Raw genomic sequence first — 11,135 nt, forward strand, 5'->3', positions numbered from 1 at the left:
TGATAGATTTTTCTCCATCCCTGTATTTTGAGCCTATGGATGTCATTGCATGTGAAATGGGCCTCTTGAAGAAAGCATAGAGTAGGGTTTTTGTTTTTTTTTTTAATCCAACTTGTCACTCTGTGCCTTTTAATATGGACATTTCTCCTGTTCACATTCAAGATTAATATTGATATGTGTAGATTTGATCTTGTCATTGTGTTGTTAGCTAGTTATCATGCTGACTTGATGGCGTAGTTACCTTATAATGCCAATGGTCTGTGTATTTAAATATGTTTTATTGGTGGCTGGTAATGGTCTTTTGTTTCCATATTTAGCACTCCATTAAGGACCTCTTATAAGGCAGGTATGGTGGTAACCAATTCCTTTAGTATTTGCTTACCTAAAAAGGTTCTTATTTCTCCTTTGCTTATGAAGCTTAGTTTGTCTGGGTATGAAATTCTTGGTTACAGTTTCTTTTCTTTATAATAATGCTGAATATATTAATAGGTCCCCAGTCTCTTCTGGCTTGTAAGGTTTCTGCTGAAAGGTCTGCTTTTGGCCTGATGGAGTTCCCTTTTTAGGTGACCTGCCCCTTCTCTCTAGCTGCTTTTAATATTTTTTCTTTCATTTCAACCTTAGAGAATCTGATGACCATATGTCTTGGGGATGGTTATCTTGTATAATATCTCACAGGGGTCCTCTGCATTTCCTAAATTTTAACATTGGTCTCTCTAGCAAGGTTGCAAAAATTTTCATGGACAATATCCTCAAATATGATTTGCAAGTTGCTTGTTTTCTCCCCTCTCTTTCAGGGACAACAATGAGTGGTAGACTTGGTCTTTTTTCATCATCCCATATTTCTCAGGGATTTTTGTTAATGTCTTTTATTCTTTTTTCTTTATTTTTGTCTGACTGAGTTAGTTTGGAGAACCACTCTTTGAGCTCTGATATTTTTTCCTTGACTTGGTCTATTCTGCTGTTAATATTTGTAATTGTATTATGAAATTCCTGTAGTGTGTTTTTCAGCTCTATCAGTTTAGTAGGTTATTTCTTAAAATGGTCATATGCTCTTTCAACTCCTGTATTATTTTACTGTAATCCTTAGATTCTTGGATTGGATTTTGACTTCCTCCTGAGTCTTGAAGATCTTCATTCCTATCCAAATTCTGTTTCTATTCTATTTCTGCCATTTCAGCCTGGTTAGAAACCATTGCTGGGGAACTAGTGCAGCTGTTTGGAAGAAAGAATGCACTCTGGCTTTTTGAGCTGCCAGAGTTCTGGTGCTTGTTCTTCCTCATCCATGTGGGTTGGTGTTTCTTTAACTGTGGTATTATTTCAGTATAGCAAGTTGGCTTCTTTTCTGGATGTTTTCAAGGGGCTAAGGCTTTGTGTTGGGTCTTTATTTGTAGCAAAATTGTTGTCCTTGGTTTCACAGTGGGGGACATATTAGCAGAGTATTTTTGGTGTTGATGTTTGGCCTGTGATCCAATAGGTGGCACTTAAGCTTAACAGCCAGTAGGCTCTTGCTCAGCCTCATAAATCCTCTATATTTCCTTATGTATGCAGCTGTGCTCTCTCTCTCTCTCAGTGTTCTGAGGGTGTGGGCTCCTCTGCAACTCTAGTGCTAGCTGCAGGTCTTGGCTTAGCCCTCCTGGGCTGCACACCGCAGCCCTGAGGTGAGCTCATGCTTTATGTTCCCTCTCAAGCTTGAGAGCAGCTAGGGTAGGGACCTTTGCAGAGGCAATGGCAGAGGATCTTTCACTTGTCCCTTGGGGATCCACCCAAAGAAATGCAGAGCCACTACCAATTGGGGTGATCAGCCCGGGGTGGGGCAGCTGTGTTGTGGGCCCAAGTTAGGGGACCCTGTCTAGTGATGAGCATGGGGGAAGGGGGCTCAGGGGGAAGACAGACTGTCCACTTCTCTTTAGGGAAGCTGTGGTGTGAGTAAAATTTTCAGGTTTCTTGTTCCTTTCCTAGTCTGAGGGCAACAAGGGCAGTACTGTTAGTGGTGGAAGGTATCCCAGTTACTGGCAGCAAGTCCCTGTGGGTCTGCAGCAACCTCAATTCTTGCCTCCTCAGAAGAAAAAATTCAAACGAGGGGCATAAAGTAGAAAAAGAGACTGAGGCAAGTTTCAGAGCAGGAGTGGAAGTTTATTAAAAAGCTTTAGAGAAGGAGAGACAAGAAAGTGTACTCGGAAGAGATCCAAGTGGGTGACTTAAAGTACAAGTGTCCCGTTTGACTCTGTTCCTAGGACTTTATAGGCTGGCCCACCTCTGGCGTCTTGTACCTTTTCCTGGTGATTCTTCCCTTAGGCTGGGCTGCCCACATGTGCAGTTGCCTCCTTGCCCTTGAGAAGTCAGCACACGCAGTGGGTTTAGTAAGTTGTATTCATGCCCATCTGAGGCTTTCTTCCCTTTTCTGGTGGAGTGCCCCTGGAAGGTCATACTCCACCATTTTGTCATAATGCTTACTTGCCCAATACCTGAGATTTTTTTGGAAGTCATTTTTGCTTCTCCCATGCGCCTGCATTCAATTAACACTTTAATGTTAACAGCTGTGGATCAACAGGAGATTGTCTCTCCCTGGCACCAGCTGCTGAATTATCATTTTTAGAGAGGCAACGTGATCATTGTTGAAACATCACCTGATGCCTGACATTCCTGATTAGTGGGGAGACCTCTCCTGCCCCACTCATGCCTGTCTACATGTAACATTCCCCCCTCAAGAGCCCAAGACCCCAAATCTTTGGGGGAAAAATGGATGAAGGTCAATCTTCTGTAACTGCTTCCTGCTGACAGAGGAACAGTGGTGGTTCTGTGGGTCTTGGCCTCTTGCTAGCTCTCAGGGCAGGAGGTTGACTCTATGGGTTGGTAAAAGCAGTATCTAACCAGGTTCAAGGGAGTCAGGGGCAGGATTTTGCCTCCTTCCTGTCACACTGATGGGCAGTCTAGGGGTCCCTTGTAGAAGGGTGCCTCTTCAATATTGAGAGGATGGTATCCCTCACTGAGGATCATCCAGAACTTGATGGCCTGAAGGTGAGAGGAGACACATCAGGTTATTAGATTTAGAAGACATGAATCAAAAAGGAGCAAAAGTCAGAGAGTAACAAGTGGTCCTAAAAAGGGAAGAACCCAGGAGAACCATTTCCAGGTTGCTTCCCAATCTAACCAACCTTGAGAGGCTCATTCCTATAACCTGGAGGCATGATTTAAGAGGAGTTTGATGTTGTCTTGTACTTTTCTTGATTGATTTACCCAAAAGCAATACTTTTCATCCAAGGCTAAGCAAATTCCTCCCTGTGCTGCCATTAACATATCTTGTCCTCAATTAATTTACTTATCTTAAAACCCATGGATCCTTTTATATTTGTGGCCAACCAGTTCACCAGTGCCTCCCCACTAACTGGACTAGAACTTGTACCATAGGCTATGTATCCCCTGACATCTTTATAGTCCCTGGCAACGTCTCTCTTCAATCCACAGGTAGCCCATCCTGCCCAGGGTGAAAAGGGCTATACAATTAATTCCTCTTGTGGAACTTGTGTTTCATCCCAGGGAAACACAAAGCCACTACCCGTGGGAATGTTCAGTTGGGGATGAGGGTTGTTCTGGGGTCCCAAGCCAGAGGCACTGCCTGGCGATGAGCAGGGGGTCGGGGCTTATGGAGAGGACTCAGCTCCACTCCATAGGGTGGCTTCAGTGTGTTGCAGGTGCCAGCAATGCAACCAGGCCCTTTGTTCCTTCCCTAGCTGGAGGCTAATACATGCAGTATCACTGCAGATACAATGGGAGAGGGACTGTGGGTTGACTCTGGGATTTTGTCCCCAGAGAAACGGAGAGCTAACACTGACTGAAGTGTTCAGGGAGGGGCAGAGTGCTGGGGGACCCACCCAGTGAAGAGTAACAGGAGGAGGGACCTGCATGGAAAACTGGCCACTTTTCCATAAGGCAAATGTGGTGTGCTTGGGGCTCCTGTTAATCCTTAATCACTTTGCTCCTTCCTGAGGCTGAGGGCAGTAGGGGTGGTTGCTGCAGAGCAGCAAAAATTGCTGACTCGCCTGCTACCACAGGAAACCCTTCTCAGAGAAGTGCGGAGCTGCTACCAGCCAAGATCTGAGGCGGGGGTAGGGTGGCTGGCATCCCCGGTCAGAAAGCCCTGCTGAGTGAGGAATATCAGGGACATGGGCCCACATGGAAAACAGCCTGGCCACTTTCTGTAAGGTAGCTGCACTGTGACAGGGGTCTGCTTTAAGTCCTTAATCACTTTGCTCCTTCCCAATCCTGAGAGTAGTAGGGGTGGGAGCAAAGGAGCAACAAAGATGGCAAGCTCTGTCCCAGAGAAGCGCAGTGCTGCTACTGACTGGAGAACTCAGGTGGAACTGAGGTAGCCATTTTAGGGTCCCAAGCCAGTGGGCCTTGCCCGGCAAAGTATAGTGGAGGCGGGCCCTGCAGTACCTTCTCCCCTTGCCCCGTGCATTTAGCCCCTATCTTGGGTGCATGTGAGGAAACCTGGCCTACCCTATTGCTGGAGCTGCAGCAGCTGATGTTGGTGTGGAATCCAAGGACACCAGGACTCCATGTATGCCTGTGCAGCAGCTCTGCCCAGACTCCACGCATCTCTCTGTGTCAGTCTGAAGGCCCTGGTGAGGTGAAGATTGCACAGGAGCTCCTGAGCCCAGGGTTGCTGTGATCCATGGCAGAAGAGTGGGTTCTCAGGGGCTCTCACTCACGCATCATTTTCCCATGGTAGGGAGCCACCCCTCAATCTACATGAATCCTGGGTGAGTAGCTGTCCTGTCTTGCTCCTCTCTGTTCTCCATGGGTCACATTACTTCCTTAATGAATCCCAGTGTGTCCACCTGGATGATTGAGTTGAGGAGCTAATGTTTACTTACTATACTTTCTTCTTTCCATGAGAGTAGCACACACTAGCTGCTTCTACCATCTTGGCCCCAACCCCTGTTTACAATTTTGTGGAATTTATTTGTATAGAAGTATTACGTTTACAACAAAGTTGAGTGAAAGGTGCAGAGATTTCCAATATATTCCCTTCCTCCACACTTGCATAGCCTCCTCCATCCATCACCAGTGTGGTACATTTTTTACAACTGATGAACCTACATTGACACATCAGTATCACCTAGAGTCCATAGTTTACATTAGAGTTCATTGTTGTTGTACATTCTATGAGTTTGAAAAAATTTATGACATATATCAATTGTAGCATCATATAGAGCAGTTTCATGGCTCTAAAAATTCTCTATGCTCTATGCCTACTTATCTCTCCCCAAAACTCCTGGCAATCACTGATCTTTTCGCTATCTCCACAGTTTTTTATTTTCTAGAATATCATATAGTTAGAATCAAACAATATACAGCCTATTCATATTGCCTTCTTTGACAGAGTAATATGTATTTAAGCTTCCTCCATGTCTTGTTATGACTTAATAGCTCATTTCTTCTTACCTCTGAATACTATTCCATTTTCTGTATATTCCATAGTTTATTCCTCCATTCACCCACTGAAGGCCGTCTTGGTTGCTCCCAAGTTTTGGCAATTATCAATAAAACTGCTATAAACATTTGTGTGCAGGTTTTTGTGTGGACATACATTTTTAACTCTTTTTGTAAACACCAAAGACTGTAATTACTGGATCATAGAGTATGAACAGGTTCAATTTTATAAGAAAATGCGAAACTGTCCTCCAAAATTATTTTATCACTTAGCATTCTCACCAGCAATGAAAGAGTTCCTGTTGCTCCATGTCGTGAGCAGCATTTGCTGTGGCCATTATTCAGGATTTTGGCCATTCTAATAGGTGTGTTGTGATATCTCATTGCTATTGGAATTTGCATTTCCCTGATGGAATATTATATGAAGCCACCTGGATCTGCCATCTGCATATCTTCTTTGGTGAGGTGTTTGTTGAAGACTGATATAGTTTGGATATTTGTCCCCATGCAAATCTCATGTTGAAATGTAATCTCCAGTGTTGGAGGTGGGACCTAGTGGGAGGTGTTGGGATCATGGGGGCAGATTCTTCATGAATGATTTGTGCCATCTTCTTAGTGATGCTTAATATCTCTTGCTCTAAGTTCACATAAAATCTGATCATTTAAAAGTTGGTGTCACCTCCCCCACCAACTTTCTCTCTCTTGCTCCTGCTTTTGCCATGTAATGTGCCTGCTCCAGCTTCACCTTCAACCGTGAATAAAACCTTCCTGAGGCCTTCCCAAAAGCCAAGTAATGTTGGTACCATGTTTGAACAGCCTGCAGAAACATAAGCCAATTAAACTTCTTTTCTTTATAGATTACCCAGTCTCAGGTATTTCTTTATAGTAATGCAAGAACAGCTTAATATAAGATTTTGGGCCCATTTTTTAATCAGTGGTTTGTTTTCTTTTTGTTGAGTTTTAAGAGTTGCTTGCATATTTTGGATAACAGTCCTTTATCAGATATGTCTTTGCCAACATTTTCTCCCAGTCTACGACTTCTCTTTTATTCTCTTGACTGCATCTTTTGCAGAGTAGAACATTTTGATTTGAATAAAATTCAGCTTACCAATTCTTTCATGGATTGTGCATATATGTAATTGAATAGATTGCTGCTATCATTATTTTGAATAAGCTCTTAGATTAAGGAAAATAAAAATTTTAATTTTACCTTTACTTATTCCTTCTCTTATGCTCTTTATTTATATAGATCTGAGTTTCTTTTCATTCTCTCCATGGAACTTTATAAAATTTTATTGCAAGGGAGGCCTACTGGCAACAAATTTCCTTAACTTTTGTTTGTCTGAGAAAGTCTTTATTTCTCCTTCACTTTTGAAGGATAATTTTGCAAAATACAGAGTTCTAGGGTTGGTGTTCTTTTTCTCCCAACACTTTCAATATTTTATTCCATTCTTCTGTTGCTTGAAATTTCTGAAGAGAAGTCAAATGTCATTCTTATCTTTATTCTTCTGTAGGTAAAAGGGTTTTCTCCCTCTGACTTCCTTCAGTGTTTTCCTTTATTTTTGATTTCCTGTAGTTTGAAAATGATATGCCTAGATGTAGTTTTGTTGTTGTTGTTGGCAGAGAATACTATGAAATCAAATGTATCCACAAGAAATATATTTTTTCTTTTTTGTTTTAATATTTTATTGCATATATTTATGATATACAATATTGGTGTTTTGATATAAGTATACCATTACATGTAAGCTGCACCTTTTGTAGGTGTCTCATGGTTCTTGAGTTGTTTGTTTTTTTTTTCTATTTTTTCAGTTTAGAGCCAATGATAGAAGTGCTCTTGTTGGCTGACCACACACAATCTAAAGCTAATCCCCACTTTCTTGAACCCACTCTAAAATTACCTATGGTGTGCTTTCTCCATTACTGCAGTGAGTAATTAAACCAAATTTATTTCAATGGCATCTGTGTTCATGGTGGTCTTTAGCTGGAGGTAACTGACAAACAAAACATCAAAAGTACATAAAATACAATAATGTTCACTGTGGCAATGTTTAAATAACAAAATACTGTAAAGCAAACTAAAGGTCCATCCTTTGGGTACTGAAAATAAATTTTAGTCTCCCTTTTAAGGGAATACTATGTACCTTTTCAAAAGAATGAGGTATATCTGTGTGTGCTGATATGGAAAGATCTCTAAATTATGAAGCAACAAAGCCAAGTATAAAAAAATGTGGACATTATAACTCAATCTTTATGCATCTTTAAATGCTGCATAATACCTTTTGCTGTTCTCAACTGCCTTTTAGAAGAAGCAGAAGAAGGAGGCACAGGAGTAGAAGAAGATCTTAGAAAGAAAACAAAGAAATATATTTGCCTTTTCATTTTCTACAGAGGCACCATGTTAACACAATTCAATAAGAATTTACTAGACACCTACTAGACACGAGATATTTTGCTAGGTCACACAGGAAAAGAACAAGATAGGATCCCTGTCATTTAGGTACACAAGATTTGCAAGCAGAAAAATATATGTTAAAAAGTGAGAAAATCTGGAATATGATAAACTCAAATAAAAATGCACAGTTCATGGATATAGAGTAAGATTTATTCTGTTTGGGGCATCATTGAACATTTCATAGAGAAATGGAATTTGAGCAGGACATTGAAAACAGAATAAAATCGGGTGATTGTGATAGAGAAGAAAGTGTAGGTGAAAATTAGTGGACATAGGAAAAGCATTGTGAGTGCTCTGGAAATGAGCACTTCAATTACACAGTACCTGGCACATTGCAAAACACAATGAATATGTGTTGAATAAACAAAATGTGGAAATGAATTAATGCTGTACAAAAAGAAGAAAAGGGGCCAAGGTGACAGTTTGCCCACTCCTACCAAAATGATATGAATAAGAACAACAAAATATTGTTCTGGAGTTGTGAATCCAGCTAAGTATTTTTCAAGGGCTTATATCTGTTTTCCAGTGTTCCCTTGAAGAATTCACATTTTGCAATTTTAAATTATTGCTACTGTCTAAGGAGTTTGAGTCAGATAATTAATGGGTACTATTGGGAAATAAAACCCTGTGGCATAAATTTAAAGTTTCACTTATTTTGAGGCAACTTTAGAATCACCTGACTTATGAGAACACACAGGTCAACTCTTTCCCACCTATCCCCAAAGAGTGCAGGGCAGGCATAGCCTGGATGTTCAATATTTGTCAGATAGAAACTAATATAATCAAAATCCAGGTCCTTTGTCCACAGAATCACGTTTGTTGTGCTCTGTAAATTAATCATTTATGTGGTGACAGGATGAATAATCCAAAAGCTTAGTTCATTTCCTATCAAGTAGAGAAATAATGATATTTGAAAAATGAACACAATAATATTTGATGTTTCGATAATCAGTCTTATTTGATCAAATTTCCCATAGATTCTGGAACAACTAGTGATAGAGGAATTATTTCTAAAGGGGACAGAAATTGTGGCAGCTTTGTCTGCTTTATTGACATTAATGGTACCAGAAAAACCCATTGTATGTGCCCAGCCAAGCCACTTCCTCTCTATCATGTCTCTGGACTTCTGACCCAGCACACTCACACCGGAAGTCTCAGGACTGCATAACAAGCCATAGTGAACATCGAGTCCCCAGCTCAAGATATTTCTGGAGTTTGCCACTACACTGTAATATGTGCCAAGCAGAACCAGAAGCTTTTCGCAAATAGTACATCCCATTTCTTCCTCCCACAGGAGCCCCTAAGCAACCCTTAGTTCATGACCTGCTTGCTTTTCACTGATCTCTTTCTGTCACCATCAGATTAGGTAACACTGCCTCTCAGCTATATGCTCTCTGACTCCCCAGATGAGGTGCAGAACTTCTGCATGCAGCCCAGGCTTGGTTAGTCTGTATATGCTGTTATAACAAAATACCTGAAACTGGGTAATTTACAAACAATAGGTATATAGATCTGGAGGTTAGGAAGCCCAAGATCAAGGCACCAGCAGTTGGGTGTCTAGTGAGGGCCAGGGATCTGGCTCCAAGATGCCACCTTGAATGCTGTGTCTTCACATGATGGAAGGGATAGAAGGGCAAAAGGGCCTAGCTGGTTACCTCCAGTCCTTTTATGATCACATCCTGTTCATGAGGGCTGTGCTCTCCTAATTTAATCAGCTTTTAAAGGCTATACTTTTTAATACTATCATATTGGTGATTAAGTTTTAACATGTGAATTTTAGGGGACACACTTAGACCATAGCACCAGTATAATCCAAGATCTAGAAAAATATGATTAAAAGTGTCCTGGTTGGTCTATACTAGGCTACCTAAAAAAAGAGGAGGGCCAGAGAGGCAGTCCTTATTCTTAAGAACCATTTGAATATGACATCCAAGAACATGAGAGAAACACCTGGGAACATCTAAGGCTGCATGTCCCCCGGATAGGAAACCAAATATTTTGAGAAAGAGTATCAAGGCAAGCATAGTGACCCATGTAGTACACTGGGGTTTCACCCAAGTGGTTTAGAGGCTTAAGCAGTGGCTTTGAAATGTAGTTATATATGTGCTAGCATGTTTTTTTCCAAATATGCATGCCTGGGCTTACCTAGAAAAGTAACCTGGATCTCTGATAGTGGAAGGTAAGTAATTTGTATTTTCAGAAAGCTTCTCAGATCTGATTGTTGTTCTTGCTTAAGCACTGGACTTGAGTAAACTAGAGGTATTGAATATAAATATCATGGTTAGTAGCTTTATCCATCCGCCTGGGGGAATGGTCTGGATTGTGTTTCCCAGTAGAGGGATCAGTACCTATATCATTTGGATTGCTTTGCAAGGGAGTAGGAAGAAAGGAGAAAAGTGGGGAGAAAAGTAGCTTACCACTGGGATGCCCTGCGTAGAGCTAGGTATTGAAATTATAAGGCTCCAGGAAAGATCTTTATCTTGTGTGCTGGGGTTGAATTGAGTGGTCGGGGAGCAAGGGAATGGTTATTTGTGTAACCCCAGTTTATAATTCCCTCTGGATTACAACTGTAAAGAAAAGTTTCTTTCAGTGGTTTAGGTTAACAAAGGCTTTCTTTATGGTGGTGGTGGCAGGGATTCTGTAGCTACCACTAGTGACAATGATATTGTATAATAGAGCTTCTAATTTTTTTCCTATGTCCATTCCTGGGCCACAGATACTAAGGAAGCTGAAGTGACCATGAAAGCTATACCGGGTGATTTGCTTTGGGAAAGATGGCTCCACATTGGTGTGGGAAAACTGATTCACAGAATTGTGGGGTTCTTACAAGGTGTTCCAGGCCATTCAGTTCTCTTATATCTTCTTGGTATAAAAAGTGCTTTTTTCTTTTTTTTTTAAATTCATCAATAAAATTTGAGGTGGTAGCAGTTAGTTACTCGCCCACATTCGAGGTGGTAGCAGTTAGTTACTCATCCACATTCTTGCCACTTGGTTTTTGAAGAAAGCCAGTCTCAAATAAAATGTTTTCACACATATAAACATTTTTAGACAAATATTTATTAACAAAGATAATGGTTAAGAAATCCTTTCTGTAAGCTTGATGAAGTCCCATTTCTCTGTCCTTTAAGATGCTCCAAGTATACCAGAGGTACCAGAGGTTCATGAGGCAATTCCCAAGTGTGTGTCTTCTAGTGGGCATGAGGCAAACAGATATTCTCAAACCAATGAATGGCTGGACACAAGA

The 11,135-nt window shown here is 41.1% G+C and overlaps 1 annotated feature.

Moving 5' to 3' along the window:
• Positions 2,765–2,934: an enhancer, noted in NCBI's record as "experimental_85146 CRE fragment used in MPRA reporter constructs". NCBI's record gives its function as "activates a minimal promoter by MPRAs in K562 erythroleukemia cells, with activity observed for the introgressed 5:42229909 variant allele {active_cell/tissue: K562}" and the evidence as "EXISTENCE:reporter gene assay evidence [ECO:0000049][PMID:34662402]".

Source organism: Homo sapiens, chromosome 5 (genome assembly GCF_000001405.40).
Source record: "Homo sapiens chromosome 5, GRCh38.p14 Primary Assembly".
NCBI classification, from domain to species: Eukaryota; Metazoa; Chordata; class Mammalia; order Primates; family Hominidae; genus Homo; species Homo sapiens.